A 19063-nucleotide genomic window follows, 5' to 3' on the forward strand; every position below is an offset into this window, starting at 1 on the left:
ACAAACTCTTTCTTAAAAATTTAAAACCCTTCTTGTTTGTTTGTTTTGTTTTGTTTTTTTGAGATGGAGTCTCTCTCTGTCGCCCAGGCTGGAGTGCACCGGCGCGATCTCAAGTCGCTGCAACCTCCGCCTCCCGGGTTCAAGTGATTCTCCTGCCTCAGCCTCCTGAGTAGCTGGGATTACAGGTCCGTGCCACCATACCCAGCTAATTTTTTTGTATTTTTAGTAGAGACGGGGTTTCACCATGTTAGCCAGGCTGGTCTCAAACTCCTGACCTCAAGCAATCCACCCACCATGGCCTCCCAAAGTGCTGAGATTACAGGCGTGAGCCACCATGCCCGGCCTGTTTTTAAATTCATAAAACATAAAGTATCCACTAAGTATGTTGGTAGGAGTTATAGACTTTTACAAACACATGCAGTCTAGTTTATACATGCATTCACATAAATGAAGAAATAGTATGACACAGAGCAAAGAATAAATGCCATGTTACCAGACTGTTTCCAGCTTCTGGCTGAAATATCCCCCTGAAACCTCTGCATTTAATTCCTCCTTTTAGAGCTCATACTTACTCTCCTCTGTTTTATCTGATGACATTACTGTTTCAAGAATCATTTTCTTGTTTTATTTTTTGTGCTCCTACTATTTTTGGAAAGTTCTTTCTATTGACACCCATGGATACTCATACATCACTTTAAATGCTGAGCCATTGCCAATGGATTGGAATAACTGATGGGAAATTTAAAGAGGTGCCCCTGTATTCTCTTAATTAGAGGGATCATAACATTTCTCACTAAAACTAGTACATCATAGACATTGGAAGGGGGCGCTATTAATGATTACTTCAGGGAAACAAAAATCTACCAAGAGTGGAGAGAGTCTTAGCAGGAACAGGAATGCCTTCAGGGTATAGGATTAAGTTTGCGGTAGATTCTTATTCAGTATATATTCCATTCTCCTCTTCACCCATGGGACTTGCTTTAGCCTAAGAGTGGACCAAAAGAATTCTGACTCCTTAATATCAAACATCTGACTCCTTAACTTTAGCCTCATGCTTGCTTTGGCGAATGAAATCATAGCAGCGGTGATGCGAAATGAGGTTGGAAACATGCCTTAGCTGTTGAACTTGCCCTCTCACACCTCTACCATCGGACAAGATGAGCTTCCCTTGGATAGTTCTTATTCCTTCAGCCTGGACTGTAGAATTAATACACCTGGAGTAAGCCTGAGCCCAGCCTACAGGAAGATACAAAGCCCAAGTGGACCCATGGCTTGCAGCAGAACCAGCCATGCCCAATTTAAATCAGCCAATTTGTATCCAAATCACATATAATAATAATTGCTGTTTTAAGCCACCAAATATTGGAGGACATTATTATACAGCTTTGTTACAGCAATTGCTACCTAATATACAGGATTTCCCTTTATTGCATATAGGATTCCTCGTACTATATGGTAGCCACTGTGCTAATCTCTGTACAGATACTGAAGAAAACCATATTCTTACCTTCGAGGAGCTTCTAGTTTGGGAAAAAATATAAAAGCACATTTAGAATTGACAAATATTGCAAAGCAGTATTTCTCTAAGTGCCAAAAAATATAGCATTTAAAGGTATAAAGAGCATCAACAACAACACAAACAAAAATCTTTGTCCTGCCTGAGCCATGCATTATGTTATCTTTTGGGGCTTCTCTTCTTTCAACTAAAAATTGAGTGATTTAAACTAGGTTAGCCATGTGATGACTTCTAGAAAAAAAAAATGTAAAATCCTGTGCTGACTCAGACAAGGTTGACCCCATGAAAGAAGAAGAATATCATAGAACAAAAATATAACACAATATAACACATAGTGCTTGGCCTTGAAAAATGGATTGAATTTAGATAGATTGGTGTATAAATATAAAATTATGTGACTAGAAGGTCAGAGAAGAAATCAAACATCTGTACCAATAGATAGTGTAATTATGTAAAGGAAAGCTCTATATCATCTTGTATGTAGCTCCTTGAGACATGCTACTGCCAAAAGGAACACTCCAGGTATGTTCCTATTTGATGAGACTTAAAATTTATTCCATCTTAAAGACTGCCCTTTCCCCTGACTACCTCTGCATTCTGAGATTATAAAGTGTGGAACCTCTTCTATTACATTTTTAGAAAATTACTCCAATCCTCGCCTTGTCCCTAAATAGGACTTAAAACTAGTTTTTGCCTCAGTGGCAAATCCATATAGCACAATCAAAAACTATGTCTCTACACATCAAAGAATATCCTATCAGTTTTGCAAAATTCAGTATGGCTTCCCACACAATCAGCTTCACTCTACAAATCACTGGAGATGGTGAAGATTTTACAAATCACTGGAGATGGTGAAGATTCTATAATAAAACCATGAACCAGAAATAAAATCAAAGAACAAGAGCTCTTTGCTCACTATGTGATGGCACAGCCTTAGAGTCCTAGAGCATCACTTAAAAATAAAAAATAAAAAAAAGCTTCGATTCAGCCACCTCGAAGAATAAGCACGTGTTTCTCATTATTATTTGCCTTTGCATTTCTTGTTGTTATTACTTGTCTTTGCCTTTGGAGATCAATTTAGGATAAAGCTGTTTTCAAAAGGTTACAAAGTGACCCAGGGATTTTCCTGGAAGTTTAATTCTGTATGCCACTGCTCCTCAGCTGCAGACTCTCCTTGGGAGAGTAGAATCTTTCCAAATGTCTAAACTTTGCAGTGTCAGTGGGATATGTAGAGACGTTATTTGACAGAGGCTTTGTGTATGCTCTTCAATGCAGGCCTATGAAAAATAAATAAGGGAACAGAATAGTAACAACTGCACAAATGTCATAACTAGAGCACAAAGGAATAATTCCTTGTTTCTCATGACTCTATCATTTAGTTTTCAAATTCTTAATTCATAATTTTAAAAGTACTATGCATTTTGATTTTTTCTTCTGTACCCAACCCTGTGCCATTTTCTAAACTCACTAGATAAAACTTTCTTTTGTAAATCTACTGAGAAAAACATTTTTTTTTAGGTTCTACCTGACATTGAATCTTCAAAGAAGATTCATCACAGTAACACTTAAAAAGTACACTCTTCAGGGAAAGGGGTGTGGGTGGATGTCTGTAAACACACCTTTATGCTCTTCTTTGAAATTATACCTGTAAGAGTTATTACACAGGAAATCCCCATGGATGACTAATACTTAAATTGAGTAAATATCTCACACACCGTAGGAATCCTAGAAGTAGCAACAGAGGAATCAGCCAGTTGACCTCTGCTACACTTCTGAGAAAGGCAACCAAAGACATTCATGTCTTTCAATCATCACCCATTGAAAAATGATAAGTAATTAATTGTCTTTTTGTTTAACATAATGAGAAAATAAGAACTATTACCGAGTTCTCGTTTCACATATAATGCCACGTACTGCAGATATGGAATGAGTGGAGGGAAAGAGGGCTCTGTTGATTAATTGCATTGCCATAGTCCAAAAACAGCCAAAATATTGGTCCAAATAATTGATACAAATGTCCACCTAGGTTAATAGTTCCTTTAGTTACATATCTTCATTTTGTGATTTTTTATAAGGAAACAAGTAATATAATTATTATTATTTCTTTAGTTCTAAGACCACAAGTAGGGATAGACCATGGAAGAGACAGAACAAGAAACTAGAAATGGAAAAAATAGAGAAATCTGCAAACATTAGAAGTCTGGACGGAGATGTGTTTGAGAAACCACTTAGATACCTACAAACCCAGGTGCCAGAAACAAAGGTTTCACAATACATCAGAAACTGCACTTGAAATCAGGTACCACACAGATAGGTCAGCTGCTGAGCAGTAAAGACACTTAGGTCAGTGCTTCTCAAATTTGAATGTGCACACATGATACCTGAGAATCTTATTAAAGCGCAGCTTCTGATTTAACAGTTCCAAGGTAAGAGCTGAAGTGATGCTCCTGCTGACAGTTATTTACTACAGTTGGAGTATCAGGAATTCAGTCTACATGGAAATGGGGATATCAGAAAGTCAGTGAGGAAGCCTAGAGGGCTTATGCCTCCGCTTGTGCGCCTGCTTCTTGCCAACACAGGTAGAAACCCCAGAGCATGGAGAGCCTGCATCCCACAGATGGAAGCAGGTGAGCCATGCGAGGGTAAGCAGAACAGATTTTGTAGGAACAAGCATAAAGGCAGATACCAATATTATCCAATACAAGAGTGAAATCAAACAATTGTATTTCATTGACTTCCACATTCTGATTTTAAAGGGACCCCATCTATTCAGTATATGTTTGATACATGTTGCAGAGAAAGCTTTGGGTAACTCACATTGACTTATTTAACTCAGGATAATTAAAGATATCTCCAAGTATGCAGCATGAGACAATTTAACATAGTGTCCAAGAGTCTAAAGTTGTTGAAGTCAGACCATCAGCACTTTAATTCTGATCTAATATTCATCAGCTATGTTACACAAATCAAGTTATTCAACCTCTCTGGGTCTCAGACTTCTCACCTGTAACATGAGAATAGGTGAGATTGGGGGGAGAGTAAGAATACCTATCTCATAAAATTATTGCGATGGCCAAATGACAATATGTAAAGGTCTTGGAAAAGTGCCTGCCACAGAGGAAATAAATGTGTGCTATCATAAGACTTTGCCATGGTATTTCTTCAACCACCTTTCCCCTAATGCCAACTTAAAGACTTTTAGGTCCGCCCATGTTAACTCTAAGCCAGATAAGTACTTATCAGCAACTTCTGACCTGGCTCTTGTGGGCTCCTCATACCCTTGGACACAGAAATAGAATTTCAAAGCACCTACTGACTTCATACAGCCCAAGGCTATTTTGTGGGGGGAAACCTATTCCTGCTCTCCAGCTGTGATCTCCTTTCACTATCTTCAATCCCAATTATCTCTCTTTTTCCTCAATTATTAACAAACTTTTCTAACTTCCTAGGTGGAGTGCCCTGTATTTGGAAATATATGAGCTAATATCATTTACGGTTTTATTGAAGTATAATTTAAGGAGAAATATTTAGAAATACACATTTCAGTTCACCTAATTAGTAGATTCCTCCTACTACCACTTCATTTAGCCAATCATGTGCCAATTCCAAATTCTAAAATTTCATCAAGTAACATTCCTCTTGAACTTGCCTCTTTCTCTCTTATTGGGTGTCACCTTCCTTCTAAACTCTATGTCTCTTACCTCAAGACTTGTAGGCTAATACAGTTATATTCTCCCCTTTCTAATCATCTCCTACTCCTGGCTCTCCTGTGGCCCACTGCTTTATTAATGTTTCTAAAATACTGATTCATATCAGGTTTCTACTCTTCTCCAAAATCTTGTCTTCCATATAAAACCTAAGCTCTTTGCCCAACATAGCGAATCTATTTTACCAATCTGTATCCTATCCATCTTTCAAGGCAATAAATTGTGCATCATTCAATTTATCTCTCATCCTTTCCTTAGGAGTCATTTTCCTTTCCTCTGTTACCTTTTTCATTTGACTCTCATGGCCATAAAGCATTCCCAAAGATATGCATGAAGTGAATTCCATGAATTTGACTGGCAGTTGATTGGGGTGCACACATTAAGAGAAGAAAAACAGAAAGGACTCAGAAATACATTTACCCATATCTTTTCCTCAACATTATAATTTCAGCTAAAGATTTACACAAAAGTGACATATACCAAAGTATGTCATGGCTTAAAACAAAGTTCTTGTATTGAATATGAGTTCTGTGATTGACATATTACCCATTGTTTGACCACAGGTCAACATATCTGAGCTGAACATGATCCCTACAACCTGCCTGAGATCACATTACCACGCCACACATGGGTACATAAAGCTGTCGGACTGTTATTTTAGAAGATGTGCAAGGAAGGACATGATGACACGGGTCAAATGTTGCCAGGAATATAGTTCTATGGCATAATATAGCTGTTTAATGGTCCATTGATAGTTCCTCAAGACACCTGAGGAGTTTAAAGCTTTACCCACCCAGGGTGTACAAAAAAGCAATAGTCAAACTGTAAAGCTTTACATAACCTGCTTTCAAAGTATTTTTTTAATATCAAAACCAATAAGACCTACTATTTGATAGTACAACAAGGTGATGATAGTCAGTAATAATTGTACATTTTGAAATAACTAAGAGTATAATCGCATTAAAATACAAAGAAATGCTTGAAGAGATGGATACCCCATTCTTCATGATGTGATAATTAAAATTGCATGCCTGTATCAAAATATCTCAGTACCCCATAAATATATACACCTACTATGTTCCCACAAAGCTTAAAACTTAAAAATAAAATAAAATATAAAAACTGAGCTTAATGATTATAGTTTTAAAGTCCAAATCCAGAGGAAAATGATAAAGATGGGAAAAGAGTAGCAAAACTATTTCTCTATCTCTTGTATTAATAAGGAAGCATGATTTACTGCTTATATGCTTCTCCTCCTTTTAAATCAGTGACATTGTTTCCACATTTGCTTTATATTGAATTGCCATGATAAAGAAGTATAAGACTATTTGGAAATGAATCACTCCCATATTACTTTTTAAAAAATTAGTAATCAAAAACATATTTCTTGGAAATAAGTATATATATATAGTTTATATATCTAGAGAGAGAGAGACATGGATACACACACACATATATTTATATGTATGTATTTGTGTATTTACGTGTGTGTATAACACATAAATTAGGCACTATGCATCTGCAACTCACAATTGAAATGGAGTTTAAATGGAGTTAAATTTAAATAGACATAGCCAGTTATCTCACACCGGCAAGAACAGTTTCTACATATGCTGTCAGGTTCTATAACTGTGTCTTCAATCTCAGCCCAAATTCACATAGAAAGGATGAGGCTAGGGAGAGAGGAAGGTGAGAAGAAGAAACAAGGAAGAGAAAATAATACTTAAAGATAACTCTTATACTTTAGGCAAAGGGTGCTACTTGAGTTTTCACATTTCATGATATAATCCGTTTCCAACTCACAAATTTAAACAAATGCCTTTGAACTCACATATTTTAATTTCTTTTTTTTTTAACTTAATTTTAAGTTCCAGAATACATGTGCAGGACGTGCAGGTTTGTTACATAGGTAAACGTGTGCCATGGTGGCTTGCTGCACCTACTAACCCATCACCTAGGTATTAAGCCCCACAGGCATTAACTATTTATCCTGATGTTCTCCCTCCTCCTGCCCCATCCCCGAATGGCCCCAGTGTGTGTTATTCCCCTCCCTGTGTCTATGTGTTCTCATTGTTCAACTCCCACTTATAAGTAAGAACATGCACTGTTTGGTTTTCTGTTCTTGTGTTCGTTTGCTGAGGATAATGACTTCCAGATCTATCCATGTCCCTACAAATGATATGATCTCACTACTTTTTACAGCTGCATAGTATTCCATGGTATATATGTACCACATTTTCTTTATCCAGTCTATCACTGAAGAGCATTTGGGTTGATTCCATGTCTTTGCTATCATGAATAGAGCTGCAATGAATATACGTGTGGATGTATCTTTATAATAGAATGATTTATATTCCTTGGGGCATATACCCAGTAATGGGATTGCTGGACCAAATGTTATTTCTGGTTCCAGGTCTTTGAGGAATTGCCACACTTTCTTCCACAGTGGTTGAGCTAATTTACATTCCCGCCAACAGTGTAAAAGCATTCCTATTTCTCTAAAGCCTTGTCAGGATCTGTTGTTTCTTGACTTTTTAATAATTGCCATTCTGACTGGCTTGAGATGGCATCTCATTGTGGTTTTGATTTGCATTTCTCTAATGGTCAGGGATGTTGGGCTTTCTTTCATATATTTGTTGGTTGCATAAATGTCTTCTTTTGAGAAGTGTCTCTTCATGTCCTTCCCCACTTTTTAATGGGGTTGTTTCTATTTCTTGTAAATTTGGTTAAGTTCATTGTAGATTGAGGATATTAGATCTTTGTCACATGGGTAGTTTGCAAAAATTTTCTCCCATTCTATAGGTTGTCTGTTCACCCTGATGATAGTGTCTTTTGCTATGAAGAACGTCTTTAGTTTAATTAGATCCCATTTGTCACTTTTTGCTTTTCTTGCAATTGCTTTTGATGTTTTTGTCATGAAATCCTTGCCCGTGCCTATGTCTTGAATGGTATTGCCTAGATTTTCTTCTAGGGTGTTTATAGTTTTGGATTTTACATTTAAGGCTTTAAGCTATCTTGAGTTAATTTTTGTATAAGGTGCAAATAAGGGGTCCAGTTCAATTTTCTGCATATGGCTAGCCAGTTCTCCCAGCACCATTTATTAAACAGGGAATCCTTTCCCCATTGCTTGTTTTTGTCAGGTTTTTTGAAGATCAGATGGTTGTAGATGTGTGGTCTCATTACTGAGATCTCTATCCCATTCCATTGGTCTATGTGTCTGTTTTTGTACGCGTACTACGCTGTTTTGCTTACTATGGCCTTGTAGTATAGTTTGAAGTCAGGTAGTGTGGTGCCTCCAGCTTTGTTCTTTTTGCTTAGGATTGTCTTGGCTATATGGGCTCTTTTTTGGTTGCATATGAATTTTAAAGTCGTTTTTTTCTTATTCTGTGAAGAATGTCAATGATAGTTTAATGGGAATAACATTGAATCTCTAAGTTATTTTGGGTAATATGGCCATTTTCACAATATTGATTCTTCCTATGTGTGAGCATGGAATGTTTTTCTATTTGTTGTGTCCTCTCATTTCCTTGAGCAGTGGTTTGTAGTTCTCCTTGAAAAGGTCCTTTTCTTCTCTTCTTAGCTATATTTCTACATATTTTATTCTCTTTTTAGCAATTATGAATGGGAATTCACCCATGATTTGGCTCTCTGCTTGCCTATTTTAGGTGTGTAGGGATGCTTGTGATTTTTGCAAAATGATTTTGTATCTTGAGACTTTTCTGAAGTGGCTTATCAGCTTGAGAAGCTTTTGAGCTGAGATGCTGGGGGCTTTCCAGATATAGGATCATGTCATCTGCAAATAGAGTAATTTTGACTTCCTCTCTTCCTATTTGAATACCCTGTATTTCTTTCTCTTGCCTGATTGCCCTGGCCAGAACTTCCAATACTATGTTGAATAGGAATAGTAGTGTGAGAGGGCATCCTTGTCTTGTGCCAGCTTTCAAGGGGAATGCTTCCAGCTTTTGCCCATTCAGTATGATATTGGCTTTCAGTTTGTCATAAATAGCTCTTATTATTTTCAGGTATGTTCCATCAAAACTTAGCTTATTGAGAGTTTTTAACATGAAGGGATGTTAAATTTTATTGAAGGCCTTTTCTGTATATTGAGATAATCATGTGATTTTTGTCTTTAGTTCCCTTTATGTGATGAATTCCGTCTGATTTGCATATGTTGAACCAGCCTCGTATCCCAGGGATAAAGCTGATCTTGGTAAATAAGCTTTTTGATATGCTGATGGATCAGGTTGCAAGTATTTTATCGAGGATTTTTGCATTGATGTTCATCAAGGATATTGGCCTGAAGTTTTCTTTTTTTGTTGTATCTCTGCCAGGTTTTGCTTTCAGGATGATGCTGAGCTCATAAAATGAGTTAGACAGAAGTCCCTTGTTTTCATTTTTTTGGAATAGTTTCAAAAGAAATGGTACTAGCTTCTCTTTGTACCTCTGATAGATTTCAGCTGTAAATCCATCTGATCCCAGGATATTATGGTTGGTAGGATATTTAGTCCTGCCTCAATTTCAGAACTTGTTATTGCTCTATTCAGGGATTCAACTTTTTCCTGGTTTAGTCTTGGGAGGGTCTACGTGTCCAGGAATTTATCCATTTCTTCTAAATTTTCTGGTTTATTTCCATAGAGTTGTTTAACGTATTCTCTGATGGTCATTTGTGTTTCTGTGGGGTCAATGGTAATAACCCCTTTATCATCTTTTATTGTGTCTATTTGATTCTTCTCCCTTTTCTTCTTTATTAGTCTAACTAGAGGTCTATTTTATTAATTTTTTCAAAAAAACATTTCCTGGATTCATTGATTTTTTTGAAGGTTTTTTTTGTGTACCTACCTATTTCTTTCAGTGCTGCTCTGATCTTGGTTATTTCTTGTCTTATGTGAGCTTTGGGGTTTGTTTGCTCTTGGTTATCTAGTTCTTTCAGTTGTTATGTTAGGGTGTTGATTTGAGATCTTTCTAACTTTTTGTTGTGGGCATTCAGTGCTATAAATTTTCCTCTTAACACTGCTTTACCTGCATCCCAGAGATTCTGGTACATTGTCTCTTTGCTCTCACTGGTTTCAAAGAACTTCTTGATTTCTGCCTTTATTTCATTATTTACCCAGGAGTCATTCAGGAGCAGGTTGTTCAATTTCCATGTAGTCGTGTGGTTTTGAGTGAGTTTCCTAATCTTGAGTTCTAACTTCATTATGCTGTGGTCTGAGACTGTTATGATTTCAGTTCTTTTGCATTTGCTGAGGGATGTTTTACCTCCGATTAAGTGATCAATTTAGAGAACTACCATGTCGTGCCAATAATGATGTATATTCTGTAATTGTGGGGTGGAGAGTTCTGTAGATATCTATCAGGTCCACTGGATCCAGAGCTGAGTTTAAGTCCTGAATATCTGTGTTAATTTTTCTGTCTCAATGATCTGTCTAATATTGACAGTGGGGTGTTAAAGTCTCCCACTATTATTGTATAGGAGTCAAAGTCTCTTTGTAGGTCTCTAAGAATTTGTGTTTTGAATCTAGGTGCTCCTGTATTGGGTGCATATATATCTAGGATAGTTGGCTTTTCTTGTTGAATTGATCCCTTTACCATTATGTAATGCCATTCTTTGTCTTTTTTGATCTTTGTTGGTTTAAAGTCTGTTTTGTCAGAAACTAGGATTGCAACCCCTGCTTTTTTCTGCTTTCCATTTGCTTGGTAGGATTTCCTCCGTCCCTTTATTTTGAGCCTGTGTGTGTCTTTGCACGTGAGATGGGTCTCTTTAATACAACACACTGAAGGATCTTGACTCTTTATCCAGCTTGCCATTCTGTGTCTTTTAATTGAGGCACTTAGCTCATTTACATTTAAGGTTAATATTATTACATATCTGAATTTGATCCTGTCATCATGATAATAGCTGGTTATTTTGCAGAATTGTTGGTGAAGTTGCTCCATAGTGTCATTTGTTTGTGTACTTCAGTGTGTTTTTGCAGTGGCTGATAATAGTTTTTCCTGTCCATATTTAGTGCTTACTTCAGGAGCTCTTCTTGCAAGGCAGACCTGGTGGTGATGAATTCCCTCAGCATTTGCTTGTCTGGAAAGGATTTTATTTCATCTTCACTTATGAAGTTTAGTTTGGCTGGAAATGAAATTCTGGGTTGGAAATTCTATTATTTAAGAATGTTGAAAATCGGCTCCCAATCTCTTCTGGCTTATAGGGTTTCTGCTGAGAGGTCCACTGTTAGCCTGATGGGCTTCCCTTTGTAGGTGACCTGGCCTTTCTCTATGGCTGCCCTTAACATTTTTCCCTTTATTTTGACCTTGGAGAATCTGATGATTATGTGTCTTGGGGTTGATCTTCTCATGTAGTATTTTACAGGGGTTCTCTGAATTTCCTGAATATGAATGTTGGCCTGTCTTTTTAGATTGGGGAAGTTCTCCTGAATGATATCCTGAAGTATGTTTTACAACTTGATTCTGTTCTACCTGTCTCTTTCAGGTACCCCAATTAGTCATAGTTCAGTCTTTTTACATAATCCCATAGTTTTCAGAGGTTTTGTTCATTCCTTTTTCTTTAATCTTGTCTGTCTGCCCTATTTCAGCAAGATAGTCTTCAAGCTCTCAAATTCTTTCCTCTGCTTGGTCTAGTCAGTTATTGATACTTGTGATTGCATTGTGAAGTTCTCGTTTTGTGTTTTTCTGCTCCATCAGGTCTTCTATGTTCCTTTCTAAACTGGTTATTCTGGTTAACAGCTCCTGTAATGTTTTATCATGGCTCTTACCTTCTTTGCATTGGGTTAGAGCATGCTCCTTTAGCCCAGCAAAGTTCATTATTACCCACCTTCTGAAGCCTACTGCTGTCAATTCATCCATCCTAGCATCCTCACAGTTCTGTGCCCTTGCTGGAGAGGTATTGTGAATGTTTAGAGGAGAAGAGACACTCTGGCTTTTTGAGTTTTTAGCATTGTTTTGTTGTTTCTTTCTCATCTTTGTGAGTTTATGTAGCTTCAATCTTTGGGGCTGTTGATCTTGGATGGGGTTTTTGTGGGGACTTTTCTGTTGATACTGTTGTTGCTGCTGCTTTCTGTTTGTTTGTTTGTTTGTTTGTTTGTTTTTCTTTTAAAAGTCAGGCCCCTCTTCCATAGGGCTGCTGTGGTTTGCTGGGGGTCCACCCCAGACCCCATTCACCTGGATCCCTCCCACCCTTGGAGGTGTCACCAGTGAAGTCTGCAGAACAGCAAAGATGGCTGCCTGCTTCTTCCTCTTGGAGCTCCATCCCAGAGGGGCACCAACTTGTGGCCAGCAGGAATGCTCCTGTGTAAGATGTCTGGCGACCGGTGTTGTGAGGTCTCACCCAGTCAGGAGGCACCAGATTTGGGACCTACTTAATGAAGCACTCTGCCTGCCCCTTGGTGGAGGGGTTACACTGCTGGGGGAATCCCACTCATCTGGACTGCCCAGATTCCTCAGAGCAAGCACAAGGACAGTATGCTGTTCTGTGGAGATTGAGGCTGCCCCTTCCCCCAGAGGTTCAGTCCCAGGGAGATCAGAGTTCTGTCCCTAAACTCCTGGTTGGAGTTGCTGAAATTACTGCAGGGAGGTCCTGCCCAGTGAGGAGGGATGGGTCAGGGTCTGGCCTAAAGAGGCAATCTCGCCATGATCTGCCACAGCCACTGTGCTGTGCTGTGGGGAGTTCCTCCTGGGTCCAAACCATCCAGTGCCCCCAGCACCAGCAAGGGGAAAATGGCAGACTGGAGCTGCAGTGATGATGGCCGCCCCTCCCCTCAGAACTCAGTAGTCTTAGGCAGTCTCCAGCCAAGTGGCCACTGAGAATCTGCACAACTCTGTGCTTGGTACCCAATGCCCTGGTAACAAGGGTTCATGATGGAGACCTCCTGATCTGATCTGCGGGTTGTACAGATCCATGGAAAAAGTATGGTTTCCTGGGCAGGGTAGCACGATCACTCAACACCTCCCTTGGCTGGGGGTGGGAGCGCCCCTTGCCCTGTGTGGCTCCCAGGTGGGACATCGCACCACCCTGCTTTTCCTTGCTCTCCATGGGTCATGCCAACAGCCTAGTCAGCCACAACAACAGAATCTGGGTACCTCCGTTGCTGGTGCAGAATTCACTCACTGTTTTCGTTCTATACACATTTTAATTTCTATTTGAAGCATTCATGCTTCAAGCTCAACCAGCTTTGGTCAATTTGTGATTTTATTTGCCATTGGCCTTCTACATAGTTTATGATACATTAGTTCACATTTGTTTTTAAGCCAACATAGGAAGCATTTTACAGGACTTTTGTTTTCATCTAGGCTTTTTATTTCCATGTTTCCTAGATTGTGCTTATAGATTACACTAAATCTCCAGGTGAATGAAAAGGACTGGTCATGATACTTATTTAGAGGAGTAGTTTTTCATATACCACGTTGAAAGTGTCAGGAAGAGAAGATCCCTTGTCGGTCCAACAAAGTCAAACAAATCAAAACCTGTTAACACTAGGGATTGGGCTGGGAACAATTCATCAGAGAGTATCATAGCACTGTAGGTCTCAAGAGGGCATTTAATAGCGCCCGTGGCAATAACAAAGAGATGCAGAGAAATTCACTCACCAGATCTTTTGGCAGAAAAAAATAAATTGATGAAGGCAGGTTATTGTTGGGCCCATAGGGAGAAATATTCCCACAGGTAAGGAAAAGTAAGCATCATACTGGAGATTCAGAGAAATCAACAGTCTATAAAATTAGTTTACAGCAAAAACCAAAAAAAAAAAAACCTTGGTTTTCCTTAGTAGGTTTCTAGTGAACATAATTTTTAAGAACCAGAACAAGAAAGCAACAAGAGAAAATTAATGAAATAAAAAGAAATTATGGCTTCCGAGTTCCAAGATGGCAGAATAGGAACAGTTCCAATTTACGGCTCCCAGCGTGAGCGATGCAGAAGACGGGTGATTTCTGCATTCCAACTGAGGTACTGGGTTCATCTCACTGGGGCTTGTTGGACAGTGGGTGCAGGCCACAGAGTGTGAGCCAAAGCAGGGCGTGGCATCGCCTCACCCGGGAAGTGGAAGGGGTCAGGGAATTTCCTTTCCTAGCCAAGGGAAGCCGTGACAGACAGTACCTGGAAAATCGGGATACCCCCACCCTAATACTGCACTTTTCCAGCAGTCTTAGCAAATGGCACACCAGGAGATTATATCCCGCACCTGGCTTGGAGGGTCCCATGCCCACAGAACCTCGATCACTGCTAGCACAGCAGTCTTAGATTGAACTGCAAGGTGGCAGTGAGGCTGGGGGAGGGGTGCCTGCCATTGCTGAGGCTTGAGTAGGTAAACAAAGTGGCTGGGAAGCTCGAACTGGGTGGAGCCCACTGCAATTCGAGGAGGCCTGCCTGCCTCTGTAGACTCCACCTCTGGGGGCAGGGCATAGCTGAACAAAAGGCAGCAGAAACTTCTGCAGACTTAAACGTCCCTGTCTGACAGCTTTGAAGAGAGTAGTGGTTCTCCCAGCATGGAGTCTGAGATCTGAGAATGGACAGACTGCCTCCTCAAGTGGGTCCCTGACCCTCGAGTAGCCTAACTGGGAGACACCTCCCAGTAGGGGCCGAATGACACCTCATACAGCCGGGTAGCCCTCTGAGACGAAGCTACCAGAGGAAGGATCAGGCAGCAACATTTGCTGTTCTGCAATTTTTGCTGTTCTGCAGCCTCTGCTGGTGATACCCAGGCAAACAGAGTCTGGAGTGGAGCTCCAGCAAACTCCAACAGACCTGCAGCTGAGGGTCCTGTTAGAAGGAAAACTAACAAATAGAAAGGACATCCACACCAAAACCCCATCTGTACATCACCATCATCAAAGACCAAAGGTAGATAAAACCACAAAGATGGGGAGAAACCAGAGCAGAAAAGCTGAAAATTCTAAAAATCAGAACACCTCTTCTCCTCTAAAGGAACATACCTCCTCACCAGCAATGGGAATTCTCATCTGTGACAGTGACCCAGAGTCCAGTTCATTATTAGTGAACTTAAAACCCATAAACATGTTAGTTGATCTCAGTATATATGTGATATGGTTTGGCTCTGTGTCCCCACCCAAATCTCACCTTGAATTGTAATCCTCATAATCCACATGTCAAGGGTGGGACCAGATGAACGTAATTGGATCGTGGGGTGGTTCCCCAATGCTCTTCTTGTGATAATAAGTGAATCTCATGAGATCTGATGCTTTTATAAGTGTCTGGCATTTCCCCTGCTTGCACTCATGATCTCTCCTGCCACCCTGTGAAGAGGTGCCTTCCACCATGATTGTTAAGTTTCCTAAGGTCTCCCCAGCTATGTGATACTGTGATTCAATTAAACCTCTTTTCTTTATAAATAAATAAAAAAGAAATCATGATGAAATTTTAAATGAAGAAGGGGAAGTAAGGGAGAAATTATAGAACATGTAAAATACAGTAGCAGAATTATCATTTACAGAGAAGGTAGTAAAGGGCAGAACTTGGTAGCATGAAAAGCCAAATCAATCGGGCCAAAGACAATCTTCAAAAACTGTCTAGAATGAGAAGAAAAAACACAATGAACTGAAAATAATGAGAAAAATAATAATCAATAAAAACAACAAAGAACAGAAACTCAATTCAAGAACACAAATGGGAAAACTAGACAATAGCTAGACCCACAACTGAAGAAATTTCCCATATTTAAAAAACAAAAGTCTAGTGTTTCCAGTTAGTCAGGGCTTACCACCTTTGATAAATGTAAGCCACACATACACATATCCTGGCAAAATATTTGAATTACAAGAATAAAATTTTAAACCCACAAGTATTCAGCTATATATGAAAGACTACAAATCATATCAGCCACAAACCTTTATTCTGAAAACAATGGAACAATGTCTACAGTCACGTCAGGAGAAAGATTGTTAGCCAATAATTTTATATCCTATGACATAATCTACACATACACAAGAAATAAAAAGCCATGCTCATTACATAGAAACACAGGAAATACACTGATCTCTTCCTATCTTTAAGGCTATTTGAACACGTATTCCAATTAAGTATATTCCAAAATATAAATTGAGAATTGAAAGAAATGGCATGAAGACTATTAAGTTTGTTCTTAATCAGTATGAGCCTCAAACTTGAGGATATAAACATACTGTGTTTTGTCACAAGAATTCCACAGCAAGAGAATAAAGTTTGACTTCCAGGATTTGTCTCAGCTAGCATTATTTTTCTTTTGTCACTTCTGTCCTGGGAAATATGTTTGATTACTACAGCTTTAAAATTCGTATTCTTAAACATACATCCAAAAGCCAGAAAGCAGAGTCTTAAAGAAATATTTGTAAGCCTATGTCCAAAGCAGCATGATTCACAATAGCCAAAAGGTGTAACAACCCAAACATCCATTAACAGATGAATAGATAAACAAAATGTGGCATATACATTTAATGGGATAGTATTCAACCTTAAAAAGGAAAAAAATTCTGACACATGTTACAATATGAATGAACCTTGAGGACAATATGCTAAGTGAAATAAGCCAGTCACACAAAGACCAGAGATATCTTGAGTAATCAAACTCACGGGAATCAAAGTAGAATGGCGGTATCCAGGGACTGAAAGAAGTGGGGAATGGAAAATAATTGTTTAATGGGAATACAGTTTCAGTTTTACATGTTGAAAAAGTTCTGGAAATTCATTGCACAACAATATGAATTTACTTAACGCTATTAAACTACACACTTAGAAACATTTAAGATGGTAAAATTTTATGTGCATTTTGTCACAAATATTTTTTTAAACTCATATTCATAGTGAATCACTGGTGTTTGTTAAATTTATTAATTTATTACTTTAAAAACTATCTAGTAGCTTATTATTATCCATTTTCAGGATCTTCATCATATCATATTCTATACCATATCTATCTATATTTGTGCACAGTTCTGCATTAAGAGGGCTTTAAAATTAATAAATGCAGTTATATCTCGACAACATACAAATACACGTTTATGGGTGAAAAAGCTTTAATTCAATAGATCATACATTCTCAACCATGGCAATATCATCTCCAAGGATACAAAATTAAGTCTTGCAGAGGGAAAAAAAAAATCTTACCTTCTAAATTTTCGCTGGTAAATCCTACCAAACATTTAAGGAAGAACTGCCTAATTAATGCTATACACATATACATACTACATAAAATCTTCCAGAAAATTGAAGAGGAGAAAACACTTCTCAACTTATCCTATGAGGACAGTGCTATCCTGATACCAAAATCAGACAAGACATGATAAGAAAACTATAGACCAATCTTCCTCATAAGCTTAGAAGCAACACTTCTTAAAATTTTAGCAAATCGAATCCAACAATATATAAAAATGGTACATGCCTGTAGTCCAAGTGCTTTGAGAGGCAAAGGGAGAAAGATTACTTGAGACCAGGAGTTCAAAAGCAGACTGGAAAACAGAGTGAGAGCCTGTCTCTGCAAAACAATTATCCAGATGTGGTAGCATGTGCCTGCAGTCCTAGCTACTCAGAAGATTGAGGTGGGAGGATTGCTTGAGCCCAGGATTTCTATGCTGCAGTGAGCTGTGATATGGCCACTGGGTGCAGCCTGGGTGACAGAGTGAGACTCTGTCTCTTAAAGAAAAAGGGGGTAGAGGAGGGATAGTACATTATGACCAAGTGGGGTTTATCCAAGGAATACAAAGTTTAACGTCTGAAAATCTGTCAATGTAATTCATCATGTTAAACAAAAATAAATAAATAAATGTGATATGATCATTGCAGTAGCTGTAGAAAAATCAGTTGACAAAACATACTTAATAGTAAAAGACAAAGTGCTGTCCCCCTAAGATCAGAAATAAGACAAGGAGGTCCACTTACTATTTGTATTTAACATTGTACTACAGATTTTGACCAGTGTACAATAAGATGAGAAAAATAAAATAAAATATACCCAGTTTAAGAAAGAAGAAGTAAAACTGGTTTTACTCCCAGATGTGACTGTTTATGTAGAAAATCTAATGAAATCTACATAAATTCAACGGAAACTACAAAAACACTGTTAGAAATGATAAGTGAATTTAGCAAGTCATGGCATACAAGGTCAACATACAAAAATCAAAGCTACTTCTACGTACCAGCGACAATCAGAAATTCAATTTTTTAAAATTACACCAGCATCAAAAACATGATACAGGGGAAAACATAACAGAAGTTGCACAAGACCTGCATCCTGAATATTATAAAACATTTCTGAGACGTATTTTTAATGAAGTGGAGAGATTTACCTAATTAATGATTAAAAGATTTAGTATTACCCCATAATTATGTATAATTAGTTATGTGTCAATTAAAAATAATAACAGTTTTTAAAATAGCAAAACTTTAAAAAAAAAGTCAATTCTCAAACTGCACTCAAGACTCAACATAATCCCCATAAAATCTCAGCAGGCCTTTTTTTTTGTAAAAATTATCAAATTGATTCTAAAATTCATATGGAAATGCACGGGACCTAGTGTAGTCACACACACACACACACACACACACACACTCACTTTCAAAAAGAACAAAATTCACGCTAACACTACCTGATTTCAAGCCTTATTATAAAGCTATAGCAATGATGAGAGTATGGTAATGGCATAAAGACAGATAAATAGATCATTGGGACAGAATGGAAAGTCTAGAAATAGACTCACATATATGGACACTGACTTTCAATGAAGCTGCAAAAGCAAGTTAGTGGGGAAAAATAGTCTCTATTATAATGCTGAAACAAATGGATATCCATATAAAAATAAATGCATTTATACAAAAATCTACTCAAAATTGATCATAGACCTAAAT

At 38.2% G+C, this 19063-nt stretch overlaps 1 long non-coding RNA gene across 1 annotated transcript in view, besides 1 other annotated feature; it reads right to left on the bottom strand.

The window, feature by feature from the left end:
* The window catches only part of LOC105379297 (uncharacterized), a 132858-nt gene that overhangs the window by 81007 nt on the left and 32788 nt on the right, over window positions 1–19063 (bottom strand). The window lies entirely within an intron of this gene.
* Window positions 4263–4432: an enhancer, noted in NCBI's record as "experimental_102343 CRE fragment used in MPRA reporter constructs". NCBI's record gives its function as "activates a minimal promoter by MPRAs in K562 erythroleukemia cells, with activity observed for the non-introgressed 8:16726078 variant allele {active_cell/tissue: K562}" and the evidence as "EXISTENCE:reporter gene assay evidence [ECO:0000049][PMID:34662402]".

Source organism: Homo sapiens, chromosome 8 (assembly GCF_000001405.40).
Source record: "Homo sapiens chromosome 8, GRCh38.p14 Primary Assembly".
NCBI lineage: Eukaryota > Metazoa > Chordata > Mammalia > Primates > Hominidae > Homo > Homo sapiens.